This window comes from Homo sapiens, chromosome 17 (assembly GCF_000001405.40).
Source record: "Homo sapiens chromosome 17, GRCh38.p14 Primary Assembly".
NCBI classification, from domain to species: Eukaryota; Metazoa; Chordata; class Mammalia; order Primates; family Hominidae; genus Homo; species Homo sapiens.
This window is the reverse complement of record NC_000017.11, coordinates 50057506-50072778: the sequence shown is the minus strand read 5'-3', so window position 1 is coordinate 50072778 and position 15273 is coordinate 50057506. Positions and strand designations below refer to the sequence as shown.

The 15273-nt window shown below is 53.0% G+C and overlaps 1 protein-coding gene across 3 annotated transcripts in view, besides 3 other annotated features; it reads right to left on the bottom strand.

Moving 5' to 3' along the window:
• The window catches only part of ITGA3 (integrin subunit alpha 3), a 34372-nt gene that overhangs the window by 17703 nt on the left and 1396 nt on the right, over window positions 1-15273 (bottom strand). For 2 of the 3 annotated variants that reach the window (NM_002204.4, XM_047435922.1), the window contains exons 2-7: window positions 8575-8702; window positions 8172-8251; window positions 4474-4723; window positions 1849-1935; window positions 1261-1468; window positions 597-793 (exon numbers count right to left, since the gene is read on the bottom strand). In NM_002204.4, coding sequence (NP_002195.1) covers window positions 597-793; window positions 1261-1468; window positions 1849-1935; window positions 4474-4723; window positions 8172-8251; window positions 8575-8702 — 950 coding nt within the window. The remainder of the gene's footprint in view (window positions 1-596; window positions 794-1260; window positions 1469-1848; window positions 1936-4473; window positions 4724-8171; window positions 8252-8574; window positions 8703-15273) is intronic. The other variant, XM_005257308.3, reaches the window with a different exon arrangement.
• Window positions 7472-8671: an enhancer, noted in NCBI's record as "P300/CBP strongly-dependent group 1 enhancer chr17:48141472-48142671 (GRCh37/hg19 assembly coordinates)". NCBI's record gives its function as "activates an origin of replication core promoter dependent on BRD2, BRD4, P300/CBP, MED14 and CDK7 cofactors, with strong dependence on P300/CBP, by STARR-seq in HCT116 cells {active_cell/tissue: HCT116}" and the evidence as "EXISTENCE:reporter gene assay evidence [ECO:0000049][PMID:35650434]".
• Window positions 9626-10126: an enhancer, noted in NCBI's record as "H3K4me1 hESC enhancer chr17:48140017-48140517 (GRCh37/hg19 assembly coordinates)". NCBI's record gives its function as "activates a minimal SCP1, AML or CMV promoter by ChIP-STARR-seq in naive H9 embryonic stem cells {active_cell/tissue: H9 hESC(naive)}" and the evidence as "EXISTENCE:reporter gene assay evidence [ECO:0000049][PMID:30033119]".
• Window positions 10127-10627: an enhancer, noted in NCBI's record as "H3K4me1 hESC enhancer chr17:48139516-48140016 (GRCh37/hg19 assembly coordinates)". NCBI's record gives its function as "activates a minimal SCP1, AML or CMV promoter by ChIP-STARR-seq in naive H9 embryonic stem cells {active_cell/tissue: H9 hESC(naive)}" and the evidence as "EXISTENCE:reporter gene assay evidence [ECO:0000049][PMID:30033119]".

The window sequence follows — 15273 nt, the reverse complement described above, 5'->3', positions numbered from 1 at the left end:
CCTGAGATATTACATTCTTGATCTTAACTCCCCTGGCCTTGCTCCATCCCTGCAATCACTCATTCCATACCCCTTCCAGAATCATCCTTCAGGGTACAAAGTTATTATATCACATCCCTGCCCTAAAACTTTCTCTGGATGCCCCATGACCCCACCATCACCATTACCCAAATATAAATCCCTAAGATACTCTGCCTGGCTTTCAAAGCATCCATCCTCACCCCACCCCACCCCACTCCCCCTCCAGCCTCCTCTCTGATGTGAACACTCTACACCCGCTAGATTTGGGCACACCAGGCCAGTTTCCACACCCATGTTGTGCCCCATCAGTTCTCTACTGTGCACTCTCAGCCCAGCCTTGGCTGCACAGTGGCATGCAAGCTCCTCCAGGAGGCCCACTGAGCTTGCCTCTGTGCTTCCTCTGCACATCTGCACATCCTCTCTCTAGTACTGCTGCGAGCTCCCCAGGTCCGGCCCCATCCTGTCTCATCTGTGGGCCCTGTCAAGCCTGATGTGCAGCTGGTGCTCAGTCAGTAGGGGTGCTGGGAGGAGGGGTGCTGGAGGAGGGGTGCTGGGGGAGGAGTGCTGGCTCATACCCTGAAATCCATCCTGGTTGATGTCACCAATGCTGGCCACAGATAAACCAAAGGCAGAGCCACTGGGGCCATGAAGAAGGAGTGAGGGGTGAGCAGGGAAGGAGGTTCCCGCCTGGTTCATGAAGACATAGATGGCACCCCCTACTTCCTCTTTCCTCTCGAAGTAGTAGGGGGCGCCCACCAGGAGGTCCTGCCACCTACACAGGAGAGGAGGGAAATGGGAGTGTGAGGTCAGCCTCCAATATGCAGCATAGTTCTTGTTTGACAGGTGTGACTGTGCCAGGGCACAGGGCTCTGCAAATGGCTCTTCCGGCCACAGGTCATGGGTGGGAAGGACATGTGCATGGGAAGGACATGGAGATGCCAATATGACCCACCAAATAGAAGACATATGTCATGGAGACGCCATGCAGGCACAAATCAAACCCAAACAATCCACATCCACTGGAGCATACAAATCCCAAGCAGAAACAAGCAAACGCAGGGGTCCCACAAATGCCATGTGCAGGTGCTCAGACTCCCATAAAGCCTGACTGCAAACCTCTGCAAACAACATGCAGACAGCCGCACAACTGCAAATCCTCCACTCCCCTCACCTGGCTTAGGTAAGCCTTCCCCCGCCCATCGCTCTCCCTGGCCCCAGAGGATGTCCCTAGATTCTCACCCATCATTGTTCAGGTCTGCCAGGGCAATGGCGCTGCCAAAATAGGCGCCCACCTGCGAGCCCTCCAGCACCTGCCTCCTCCGCAGGTCTCCGCCTGCCTCCTGGCTCAGCAAGAACACCGCGCCCATATGTCGGTGCCGTGGGGCACCTGTCACAATGGTGATGTTTTTGGGGTGCAGGATGAAGCTGCCTACCTGCATCGTGTACCCTGGGATAGAGGGAAGATGTTCAACCAAGGTCCCAGTCAACTTCGTCTCTTTCTACTCTGGACCCATCTCCCTATTCCCTCTCTTGCCCCCCACCATGATGTTCTATCCCACTATTCCAAGTAGGGCAAGAAAGTAGACTCCAGATGGCCAGCAGCCATGGCCCAGTTCTGCCTGGACACTGGACTGTGAGCATCCTGAAGTCAAGAACTTTGCATCTTGGGAGCTTGGAACAGGGCCTGGCATACAGGTGCCGGCCAATCCGTGTGTGCTAGTTTAACTAAATGCCATTAGTCACAACTGCACTCTGGCCTCACCTTTCCACCAGGGACTAAGCCCCCTTCCCCTCTACCACTTGATGGGCTACCACTACTGTACTCACCAATATAGAGGTTTCCTTGGTCCTCTGGGTCCTTGTAACTATACTCAGATAAGTCCCACTCCTTGCGCTGAATCATGTAGCTGTTTCCTTCACAGGGATTGAGGGAGGGAGAGTAGGGAGTATAAGTCACCACCGGTTTCTGGTTTCCTCTACCATGTCCAGCCCACCCCCACCCCCACCCAACAAGGATAGTAATAACCCCTTTTATTGGTGAGCATTTTGCCATTTATAAAACACATCCTCTTTAACAATTCTTTTTTCCTTTTTTTTTTTTTTTTTTTTTTTTGAGACAGTCTTGCTCTTGTTGCCCAGGCTGGAGTGCAATGGTGTGATCTTGCCTCACTGCAACCTCCGCTTCCTGGGTTCAAGCGATTCTCCTGCCTCAGCCTCCCGAGTAGCTGGGATTACAGGCATGCGCCACCATGCCCGGCTAATTTTTGTATTTTCAGTAGAGACAAGGTTTCACCATGTTGGCCAGGCTGGTCTCAAACTCCTGGCCTCAAGTGATCCATCTGCCTTGGCCTCCCAAAGTGCTGGGATTACAGGTGTCAGCCACTGTGCCTGGCCTATTATAACAATTATTTGAGGTTAAATTATGACCCCCATTTTGCAGATAAGTGAGGCTCAGGAGGGAAGTTGACTTGCTCATAGTCCCATGGGGAGCTGGTTGTAGAGCCATGGCTAGAACTTAATCACTCAGGCTCCTGGATATTAGATGCTAGATGGCTTTCCCCACTCTCTAGACACTGAGGTCAGACTCCACACCATTATCTCTTTCTGGTCCTGACCCCAAACTCGGGCTGCCTAGCTGGACCCTGCACCCAGGGCTGCTGCTGGAGAGTATCTGTGACTTTGCCAAGGTGCTACATGACCAGGGGGTGGGAGGCAGGACCAGAAGAGGGGGCAGAGGCCTCAGCCTTCGGTGAGCCCAGAGCTGTGACTATGCCTGGGGCTACATGTTGGTCAAGAGGAGATTCAAGGCTCCTCTGCCTGCTGATTCTACAACAATAAAGGTTCAGTAAGGGAAAAGGGGTCCCTATTGCTACAACCTGTGTGATGGAGGGAGGCAAAGAGATGGAGGGAGTATAAGCTGTCAGACACCCCCTGTGAGACCATGTGTAGTGTGGTCTTTTACAAGCATGGTCTTTTACAAGAAAATACCCTTCATCCTCTAAAATGATGGTCCTATATATATCAACATGAAAAAGTGCCCATGACTTTTGATAAGAGAAAGAGAGAAAGTAGCGATATTTATTTAGTTTTTTGAGATAAGGTCTTGCTCTGCTGCTCAGGCTGGAGGACAGTGGCACAATCGCAGCTCACTGCAGCCTCAACCTCCTGGGCCCAAGCGATCCTCCCACCTCAGCCTCCTGAGTAGCTGGGACCATAGGTGTGTGCCACCACACCTGGCTAATTTTTAAATTTTTTGTAGAGACAAGGTCTCCCTACGTTGCCCACGTTAGTCTTGAACTCCTGGGCTCAAGTGATCCTCCCACCTCAGTTTTCCAAAGTGTTGGGATTACAGGCATGAGCCACTGCACCTGGCGATAACTATTATTATAGGACATTGCCTACTGTACTATGTAGTGGTTGTACCAGGAGCATGTTTTATTTTTAGAATTAGTTTGTAAATGGTTAAACTGAAGTCAGATGGACCTGTATTCCAATCCAGGTTTCATAACTTTGTTGGCCTTGGGCAATTTACTTCTCTAAGTCTTAGTTTTTGTTTTTGTAAAATGGATATAATAATACTTGCCTCATAAGAGTATTTTAAGAATGATTAGGCTGGGCGCGGTGGCTCACGCCTGTAATCCCAGTACTTTGGGAGACCGAGGTGAGCGGATCACGAGGTCAGGAGATTGAGACCATCCTGGCTAACACGGTGAAAGCCCGTCTCTACTAAAAATACAAAAAAATTAGCCGGGCATGGTGGCGGGCACCTGTAGTCCCAGCTACTCAAGAGGCTGAGGCAGGAGAATGGCGTGAACCCTGGAGGTGGAGCTTGCAGTGAGCCGAGATTGCACCACTGCACTCCAGCCTGGGTGACAGAGTGAGACTCTGTCTCAAAAAAATAAATAAATAAATAAATAAATAAATAAATAAATAAATAAATAAAAAAGACTGATTGAGGCTGGGCATGGTGGCTCATGCCCATAATCCCAGCACTTTGGGAGGCCGAGGAGGGTGGATTGCTTAAGCCCAGGAGTTCAAGACTAGCCTGAGCAACATGGTGAAACTCCATCTCTACAAAAAATACAGAAATTAGCCAGGTGTAGTGGCACATGCCTGCGGTCATAGCTACTCAAGAAGCTGAGGTTGGAGGATCACCTGAGCCTGGGGAGGTCGAGGCTGCAGTGAGCCATGAATGTGCCACTGCACTCCAGCCTGGGTGACATAGTGAGACCCTATGTCAAAAAAACAACAAAAAAGATTGATTGACATAATATGCGTAAGGCCCCTGGCACATAGTAAGTGCTTTAAAACAGTAGAAGTCATGGTGGTTGCTGATACTGGCATGAGGTCCTGTTTCTAGTGTGGATGGTCTAGGCCAGCTGTCCCCGTGGCTAACTAGGGGTGGGTGGTCTCTGCTCTTCCTTTCTTCCCCCATGGCCCCATGGTCCCCACCTTTCCAGTTGTAGGCACCGGGGGCGCCGAAGTACACAGTGTTCTGGGTGAAGCCACCGCTGGTGCCCAGCTGGCACATGCCCGTCTCCAGGTAGTCTGTGTTGCTATTGCACATCTCGTTGTGGTAGGTCTGCCAGTCATCACTGGAGTCCAGCTCTAGGTCATTGCCTCGCACGTAGCACTTGCCCACCATGCGCCGCTGGTCTTCTGACCCTGACCACAGCACCTGGGTGTAGCGGTGGGCACAGACCTGGGGACCCCCCAAACACAGGCAGCCTTAGTCAGGCACAGGGACCCGGGTCAGCTGTCTCTTTTACCCTGTAAGCCTCTGGCTTTGCCAAACAGGAGTCAAAGGAGATCTCCTGGCTTCTCCTTCTCCCAGTGATACTTAAACCTGCATCTCCTTTCCAGAATTCAGAAATCTGCTCTGAGGGTCAGGAACACTTTTTGGAAAGCTGTAAAGTGTGGATCTGAGAGTGGCTTAGAGATCTCAGCAAAGGGAAAGCAGGGAAGGATGAGAGACTGTGGGGTTCAGGCTCTTGGTCTAGAAGGGGTTAGTAACAGAGAGATTAAGGGACTTGCTGCTCTGCCATCTCCAGATGACCCTGTCCTCTTAATGAAAGGACCATTATTAAAATAATAATTACAATGACGGTAATAATAATAGCAGCAGCTAACACTTCATGAGTGCTTCCTATATGCCAGGCACAATTCTGAACTCCTCACATATTAAGTGTTAAGCCTGCTAGTGACCCTATGGTGTAGGAATGATTATTTCCCCCATTTTAGATAAACTGAGGCATGGAGAGCTCAGTAACCTGCATAAGATCTCATATCTAGAGAGAGGCAGAGAATATTCAAACCAAGGCTGTCTCCTTCCAAAATCTGAGCTCTTAAGCACATGCTGTGCTGCTTCACGGAGGGGAGAATCTATGCGCAGCCTCTCTGGGTGCACTTTAGCTGCTCAGTATATATTTATTGGGCAAACTGATGGGCCAGAATAGGGTGACTTAAAACAGCCTGGAGACAGGCAAAGTCCAGAAGTAGGCCCTGGTTCTTGTTTACTTGCTTTCTGTGGTCCCTTCTAGCTGTGAGCTCCACCAGCATGTTACCTGAGCCTGTCTTAGTCACTGCTAAGCTTCTAGGAATAGCACAGTGTTTGGTACACAGTAGGGGCTCACCAAATATCTGTTGAATGAACAGTGAGTAAATAACTGCTAAAGGATCCAGGGTGCAGAATCACTTTAAATGGGCTCCTAGACCACAGCCATCCATAACAGGGTTATCAAAAAGGCATTTCAGTGAACTGATGCCAACCTGGAGCTTAAAACAGTGTTCAAAGGTGACAGAAATCCCAGCAGTGGTGGCTTATGGGGTGGCAAATGATTAGAAGGGGTTACAAGGGCACCTTCTGGAGTGATTTTAAGATATATCTTTGGTTATACAGGTACATACATTTGTAAAAATTCATTGAAGTTTGAAATCTGTACATTTCACTGTATGTAAACATTACATCAATTTTTTCCTTTTTGAGACAGGATCTGACTCTGTCACCCAGGCTGGAGTGCAGTGGCATGATCTCAGCTCACTCCAACCTTTCTCTCCGGGGTTCAAGTGATCCTCCCACCTCAGCCTCCCAGGCAGCTGGGATTACAGGCGCATACCACCATGCCGGGCTAATTTATATATTTTTGGTAGAGATGGAATTTTGCCGTGTTGCCCAGGTTGATCACAAACTCCTAGGCTCAAACGATCCTCCTGCCTCATCCCAAAGGAATGAGCCACCGAGCCTGGCCACATCAAATTTTAAAATGAGAAAAAAGCCAGGCATTGTTGCTCTTGCCTATAATCCCAACTACTTGGGAGGCCGAGGCAGGAGGATCACTTGAGCCCAGGAGTTCAAGGCTACAGTGAGCTATGATCATGTCACCCACTCCAGCCTGGGTGACAGAGCCAGACCTCATCTCTAAGAGAAAAAAAAAAAAAAGAAAGAAAAAGAAAAATGGGGCCACATACGGTGGCTCACGCCTGAAATCCTAGCACTAGCAGTTTGGGAGGCCAAGGCAGGAGGATCACTTGAGCCCAGGAGTTTGAGACCAGCCTGGGCAACACAGTCAGACCCTGTCTCTATAAAAACTTTAAAAATTAGCTTGGGAGGCTAAGGCTGGAGGGTCGCTTGAGTCTGGGAAGTCAAGGCTGCAGTGAGCTGAGATGGCACCACTATACTCCAGCCTGGTTGAGAGATGGAGTCTTTTTTTTTTTTTTTTTTTTTTGAGATGGAGTCTCGCTCTGTCACCCAGGCTGGAATGCAGTGGTGTGATCTTGGCTCACTGCAACCTCCACCTCCCAGGTTCAAGCGATTCTCCTGCCTCAGCCTCCCAAGTAACTGGGACAACAGACGGGCACCACTGCACCCGGCTTATTTTTTATATTTTTAGTAGAGACAGGGTTTCACCATATTGGCCAGGCTGGTCTCGAACTTCTGACCTCATGATCCACCGGCCTCGGCCTCCCAAAGTGCTGGGATTACAGGCGTGAACCACCACACCCAGCTGGGAGTCTTCTATCTTGAAAGAAAGAAGAAAGAAGAGAAAGAAAAGAAAAGAGAGAGAGAGAGAGAGAGAGACAGCCTCATTCTCTCTTTGCCTGCTGCCATCAGCGTAAGATGGGACTTGCTCCTCCTTGCCTTCCACCGTGATTGTGAGGCTTCCCCAGCCATGTGGAACTATCAAGGCAAGAGAAAAACCTGACATCAAAGCAACACATTCTAAGACTGAGTTTATGTGCCTATCTGGATACTGATAATTCATGTCTGAAGAAAGTATAAGTATTGCATTCTCTTGGTCACAGTAATTGTTTCAGAGAGGAGTACCTGAAATAGTCAGAGCTAATGAGTTGTAGTCAGATATCTACTGGGACTATAGAACTTGAAGGTCAAAGAAGATAAAGCTGAAGCTGTTGCATTCATCTTGGCACTACGAAAAGAATGCCTATCAAAGAATGGAGGCAACACGAAGAACACAGAGTTAAGTGCTTGAGATAAATCACATCCTGGTGGCATCATATGAGCACCAGGAGCAAGGCAAGCCTTAACCAGAACTCTTCTGTGTGTGAAGCAATAAAATCAAAATCCTTTTTGGAATATAACAACAACAACAAGAGACAGAGAGAGAAAAAAATGCGGGGGGAAATGTCTATCTGGGACCCAGAAATGGAGAACTCAGGGGCTGCCACTATAGAATGTGGGCAGGAGGTGACACATTTGATTAGCCCCCAGACCAGAGCTGGGTGAGCCGGGGTCAGCAGGGCTGGGCCTCTTCCGGCAGTCAGCCTCCCAGGAAGGAGCGCCAGCCAGCGCTGAGCTGCCTGGGGCCCTCTCTGCCCTTTCTCCTCCTTGCAGTTCCCTCGGCTCCCTCGGCTTGTTCCCACGAAGGCTGAGCACCCAGTGTAGGCATGCGGAGGAAGTGGATGAGTCAGAGAACTCAGGCCGTGCGGGGGTTTGGGAGAGCACAGGATACTCACCCCCTCCCCAGGAGTGCAGAGAGCGAGGGACACACAGCCACAGGAAGGGACATGTGTGCAGGCCCCAGCACACACGCGCCGTGGACCCCCCTGCTGCCCTCTTCTTTCCTCCCAGCTCTGGAGATGAGGGGAGAGCCGGGTAGAGGTGGAGGAGCCAACACTGAGCACCCACTTACCAGAACTCTGCCTGCAGGGCCCTGGCTGGCCACAGTCACTCCAAGCCACATGTCCTCAATAATGTGATGGCCAGGGTCATCTGTGGGCACCGGAAGGATCATGAATCAGAGCACCTCACCCATACTTCAGTGCCCAAAGTCTCCAGAGGGCAGGAGTGGGTCCCGCTTGGGCCCTCCACCCACAGGGCAGCCCTCCCAACTCCCCTTCTCCAGCTCGTCATTATTCTGAGCTCTACCAATCCCATCCAGCCCCACTCTCCTCTAGGGCACCCTCTTCCCAGCTGGACAAGAAGCGACTAGAAGCCGTGTGAACAAGCCTTCTATCTCCTCCAGGCCATTCTCTCTGCGGTACCCCCCTGCCAGACCTCTGACCCAGCACCCCTCCCCAGCCCCTTCCCCTCACTTTTCACTGTGATGTTCATCCGCTCACAGTCATCCTTGTGGGCAGTGAGTGGGCACAGGTACACAGCACCAGTCCGGTTGGTGTAGCCATCGGGCACAGCGAGCTCCCGGGGGGCACCAGCCAGGAGCCTGGGGATAGGGACGGAGGTGGGTCCGGGTTCAGACTCCCCAAGCCCCACTTGGAACAACTTGTTATTTATTCAACATACATTTACAGATTCTTGGTGCCAGGAGACCCCCAGCTCCTGCCCTCCAGAAGTGCCCAGTGTAGGGTAAGGCAGGCAAGGAAAAAAGACACTAGAAGGAAGTGCCCCGGGAGTGGGAAGCAGGGAGCACAGTAGCCCAGGCTCAGGGCTGAGGGGGCAGTGATGGAGGCCAGCAGAAGAGGTGACCTAATCTGAGTCTGAGGACAATCACCAGGGTTCTCCAGGTGAAGAAGGGGAGGAAGAGCACTTGGGCAAAGGCACACATGTGCAGGGCCAGGAAGCAAGAGCCAGCAGGGTGAATCAGAGACCTGCAAGGCCCTCAGCATAGCTGGAGTCCAGGAGCCTCTGGGGAGGCACACAAAGGCAGGCTGGGAAGGTCCTTAGGGGAACCACAGAGGGATTTTAGGCAGGGGCATGACATGGCCAGATCTCAGTTTTGGAAGGAATGCTTTGGCCTTTGAGATGAAGGTAGACCAGAAGAGAGCAAGATGAGGAATCCTGGCAGAGAGTTCAAATTCTGGGGGTTCAGAGGGGAGAACTTAGGGGACTGGGTTGTCAGAACGCTGGGTTTTTCCTCCTGAAGCCATGTGGAGACTCAGATCTTGGAGACCTGGGCCCCTAAGCGACCTGGGTGATGTCCAACATCCTTCCCCAGTTACCTTAAGACAGGCACACAGGTAGGGGTTGGGATAAGTACCTGACACTTTGGACAATGTGGCCCCAGAGCAGAGTTCCCAGTGGGTGGGCAGCAGGTGGGGAGGGAAAGGGCTCTTGCCTTGCTCCCAGCCTGCCCAGAATCCATCTTTGGGGATGCAGACAGCAAGTTCCTGCAAGGATGCTTAGGACCCTGGCAACCCGTCCCATACCAGAGGGGTGGCTGGAGCAGAAAGAGGCAGGGGTTGGCCCTGAAATGCCATCTTAGAGGACAAGCCTTGGGCCATCAGAAACCCCGGGGATCTTTGTTAAAAAGGTAGATTCCTCTGCCCACAACACACCATCTGGTGGAATCTGGTGCACCCCAGTTTGAGAACTCAGTTTTAGCAGATTTTCTCCCCACATCACCTCCCTGCAGCCTCTAAATGTTCTGCCAGGAGCCCCTGCTCAATCCTGATGGCCCTGGCCTTCTCGGGTGGCAGGCACCTCCCAGGTGCCCCACCATTTGGCCCCAGCAACTCTATCACTCTACAGCTCCCAGCTCAGAACTTGGGCTCTGGGCCTCCTGCCAGTCTGGAAGTGCCAAGCAACAGCCACGCCTGTAGCTTCTGCCTGGGACCTGTGAGTGTGGGCTACAGGGAGTGGGCTGGGCAGGGCAGGGCAGTGCAGGGCCTGGGCATGCCAGGGCCTGGGGTATCTCCACCCACTGGGAGTCAGGAATGTACTGCCTGCGGGTGCTGGGAAGGGGGTGGGACCTTGCCTATACTTCAAGACAACAGCTCAGACCTCACCCTGGGGAAGTGTTCCTGGGAGAAGGGGTGAAGCTTCCTGGCCAGGGAGGCTGGCAGGGGGCCAGGGTGGCAGCCAGGCCTGGAGAGTCACTTCTCTCTGGGCTGGGAAGGCCTCGATGAGTCCACTGCCTGACCACCCATGGACATCCGCTCTCTGGCGTGCCTGACAGATGAGAGAAGGGACCCACAGCCTGCGGGAAAGGAGCATCTCAGCCTGAGAACCCACGGACCTGGGTCTAGGGTTTGTTCTGCCTGAAGGGGCAATTTCCTTTCCTTCTCTGAGCCCTGAGTGCCCCATCTGTAAAATGGGGGCAGCCCCTCTCCTGCTGACCTCCAGGGTTGCTAGAGGAACAAATAGGTCTATTCTACAAAAAGGTGTTCTGATATGAAGCCATAGCTAATGTGAGCATTGTTGTTCCGATTTGTTGTGGCATCAGGACTGGTCTAGCATGCCTCCAGCCCTCCCTCCAGGGACCCAGGAATTTCTTTTTTTCTTTCTTTTTTTTTTTTTTTTTGAGACAGGGTCTTGCTCTGTCACCCAGGCTGGAGTGCAGTGGCACAACCTCGGCTCACTGCCACCTCCGCCTCCCGGGTGCAAGTGATTCTCCTGACTCAGCCTCCCAAGTAGCTGGGATTACAGGCATGCACCACCACGCCCAGCTAATTTTTGTATTTGTACTAGAGATGGGGTTTCGCCATATTGGCCAGGCTGATGTCGAACTCCTGACCTCAGGTGATCCACCCGCCTCGGCCTCCCAAGTTACTGGGATTACAAGCGTGAGCCACCGTGCCTGGCTGGACCCAGGAATTTCTGCCCTGGCATGTTAGGGAACCTGGAGCAGAGGGAAAAGAAGAGACTCCTTTGGTGGTTTAGAGAGATCAGCAGGGAGACATAGGAAGACTTCCATGGCTTGAGGATACCAGGTGATCACTGGGGTCAGGGTGGGAGCGCTGGCAGCTAGAGTCACTCTACAGCGGGGGCTCAGATCTGGCTGGAGGTGGAGGTTGGGAATTTTCTACAGTGACACTAAGGGGTCCGGGCCTCAGTGGGAGGCCGGGCCTTGGGCACGCCTGTAATGGAAGTGTTGCCCCCTTGTTGCTGCTGCTGCCCTGCCCATGTTGTCATACAGGAGGCAGCTGAGCAAAAGGGTCTCCATGCCCTCCCAGCCCCCTCAACTCAGCCAGGAAGGGGCTAAGGGACTCCCTCCTCTGAACTTCCCAAGGTACTGAGCAGGCAGAGCTGGGCACGCATGTCAATCAGATTGAAATACTTCCCCTTACCACCAATACCCTCCTGCCTGTTGCCTGGAACCAGCCTTATGCCTACTGATAGAGGGCAGGGCAGGGCCAGTGCCCTAATCCCAGCCCTACATCCCAGGCCCCTCCCTCCTCAGAGATTCCAGAGTGAGCCCCCGCTTCACCCCCCCAGAGTATTTTTAGCTTCCACTTGGCCCACTCAGAGGCCCTTTAAGGCCCTCTGGCTCCCAGCCCAGGATCCAATGGGTCTACAGCCAGAGGCCTGCACATGGATGGGGGAAGGCGGGTGTGCAGAGGGTGGTTCCAGCTTCCTCCAGCCACACACACCCAGGTGTGTGCGGAGGGGGTTGGAGAATCCTGAAGGTGAGAGGGACCTTACTGTATGCAAATGAAATGCAAATTAGTACACAAATGAGCAATTCTGCCAGCCACCTGCTTTTAGGTCTGGTCCAGATCACAAAATCCAAAAGCTGACCCCTTCCAGAGCAGTACTGAACCCATCCCCTCAGCTGCAGCCAGAAGGAGGGAGAGTAGGTGGAGGGATGCCTAGATGGAGCTCTTAGAGCAAGGAAGATAGGAGATGGGACTGCCCCTCTCCTGGAGTCAGGCTGGACTGGGGGGAGCAGAGACCCCCAGCCCCCCAGATGGAGTGGGATGGGTGAAGTGACTACTCAAGGGCTTTCCAACAGCTGCCTCCTCACCCTCCCATTGGCTCCAGCCAAACAGCCCCTCTTGGCCTCTGCGGAGCCCCTTGAGCTCCAAGTTCCGAAAAAGCCCTTCCTTACCCCTGCCCTATCACTCCCCTTGGGGCAGTTCAGAGCTAATGGAACAGCCAAGGAGAAAGCAGAAGAATCAAAGAAGGGCGCGGCACAGTACCCAGGAGAATTCAGGGTACCAGGTTGGCTCACCTCAAAGAGGAGAAGGCCCCTGGGGGCACTGGGGTGGGGTAATGCTCAGAGAAGCAGCCTGTAAGATTCACCTTCCCAGATTCTGTCACCTCAGGGAGGCACTTGGTGGCTCCATGGGAGGATTCCAGAGGGGGCCAAAGGATCTAGCACTCAGGCCAACATGGCAGGGCCTCACTCCTTGGGTACCTAGCCTCCTGTGTTCCCCTCCTATCCCCGGCCGGGAGGCAGGTGGGGAGGGTGCCTGCTCCACCTCTGAGCCCCAGAGAAGGGGTGGGGGCAGCTCTGGGATGCCTGGATCCCAGCTCTATGCCAGCCTTGCTGCCCGAATTAGCCATCTCCCCAGAGGCCGGCCCTGTGGCAGCTGAAACTGCAGCCCTCCCCATCCTTCCTGACCCTTCCCTTGCTGCCCACCCAGCCCCCTCTCCCCACTGGTGACTCAGCCCTAGAACCAGAGCAACAAGCTGGAGGGAGAGAGAGAATGAGAAAGGACAGGAAAAAGAGCCCTGGCTAAGCCTCAGATAAAAAAAGAACAAGGCCATTTTTCTCAGTTCTGCTCCCTTTCCTTGGCTCTTCAGTATTTTTCCTGTATTTGACCCCCGAGGGCATTCTAAGTGTCATCTAACCTCAATTCCTCTTACTGCAAAGGGGATCTTCTTCCTTCTTTGTTTACTTCTGACCAAGCCCCCTTCGCTGCTGCTTTTTCTACAAGATCAGGCTTCCCCTACTCCTGCCCAGTTGAAAGCCTCTTGGCCTAGACTGGTCACTGGGTAGAGCCAGAGGAAAAAGATACTACACGAGCAGGCCTTCTGCCTCCAGCCACAGCTGCTGTGCCCATTTCTGCTGGCACGAACCTTGAAGGCTGCCAGGCACCTGCTTTGCCCAGGGAAACATGATGTTAGGAGAGCATGGCAGGTGAGCCTGGCTCCTGCGTACCTCAGGCATGACCTCATTTCTAGGAGCCACCCTGCCCTGGGCTTCCCAGATACCCTCATTTCCAAGCAAAAGTGAAAGAGAGAGAAGGACCGGCAGTATCCCCATAGGCCCACAGGGTCAGGCCAGACCAGAATGCCTGGATTCCCAGGAGGGAATGTCAGTGCAGGTGCTGGAGCAGAGAGGGTGTCAGTAACCACCTCCCAGAGAACAGTCCCTGTCCCTCCAAGGAACCCCTCATGCATCTTGCCAAGAAGCCCAGAGCACTTTGGTCCTCTGCCTGCTCCTTACCCCTCATTTCCACAGACTAGGAGACTGGGCCCTGGGTTGGGGCTAGCCCCCTATGTTGTGGACCAGGAACCCCAGTCCAGAGATGAAGGTGATGGGGCAGCAAAGAGGGTCCCACCCCTGGGTTTCTAACCATTTCTGAGGCCTTATGAATGGAGAACAAGAAAGCTGTGCTCTCCCCTCCTCCCACCCCCAGGGCAGTGGACAAATACTACGATTTTGGGTACACTTTCAGGGAGTCCCTGCATCTCTTGAAAACCTTCTACGAACCCCAGTTTAAGAGCCTGTCCAAGACCACGAACCATCCCACTTTTCCAAAGAGACTTTCAGGCTAACAGAATATGAGGCTGCAGCTCGTCTTACTAGTTAGTTCCTCTGAGTTGTGCACTCAGGCAGCTGTTTGCATCTGGCTACACAGCTGGCTGCAGCTAAGCCCAGCTGGCTCTCCCAAATGGCCGAGGGGTCGAATTTAGTGAGATGAAGAGAAGGGCCAAGACACAGAACCACCCTTAGGAAAGACTGAGGATACTCAAGGGAGAGAACTGCCCCTCAGAGGTTCATTAGCTTTAGAACCTTCTGGGCTCTTGGCAGGCTGAATGCCAGCTCCAGCTTCCCAGACAGAAAAGTAGAACCCCTTTGCTCAGCCACCCTGGGCGGGGCCCATGGGTAATGAGGATGCATCCAGGTTCTGGCCTCAGCGCAAGAGCCTTCAGGTGCTCCTTGGAGAAAGGCACATGTGCAGAGGATTTTACGCACTTTATCTCGTTACAGCCCCACTAACATCCCAGCAGAAGGCATGCTGTTCCCCTCCCTCCAACATGTGCGGAAATTCAGGTTCAGGTATTGGTAACAGATCTGAGACAGGACACTGGCCATGGGACCTCCAAGCCTCTTCTCCCTCTACCATATCAAGTTGCTTCTCACAGGCCAGCAGCAGTGGGAAAGAGCACTAGATCCAGGTCCAACCCGTTTTGGGGGAAACCTGGCCCAGGGAGGGGAAATATCTTGCTCAAGGTCACCAGGCAAAAGGGTTGCGGAATCATTATTGACTCTTTCTTTCCAGTCTGATCTCTTTACCTATGTTATCTTATATCATGCAGATTTGGCATTGAAAGTCTGAAAATCTTTTTCTCAGTTAGGGCAGAAAGAGCTGATGTAGAAACTTGTGCTCATGGTGGCTCAGGATCTCCAAAAGATAGAGGGTTGGCTAAGGCCAGGTGGCAGCTGCTGGGGCCAGGCTGGGAAGGGTGTGGTAGCCCTAGCCTCTGCAAGAGCAAGATGGAGTTGAGGTTAAGTCCAGGTAGGTAGGCTGGGTCAGGAGGGCAGAACCAAGGCGGGGGCAGAGTTTGGACTTTGGACATTCTAAACTTCCTCAAGCTCTGCAGGCCCCAGCCAGAGCAGGGAGATTTTCCAGTGTACCCTGGATGTGACCACGTCTTCTTGTTCAGTGGGGTCAGAGGCCAGGTGGGGGCAGAGGCTAGGTGGGGGCAGATGCCTGGCAGATCGCCCAGCCCAAAGTGGTGGATGGTACCTGCTTAACCTGTCCTAAACACCGTCCCTCTTTGGACAGCTTCACCTCCCCCAACCGCCAACCTCCGCGCGCTCTGAGGCCACGGCAGAGAGACCTCTGAAGCCTGGACATGCTCCTGGGCATGAGGGCGTCTGG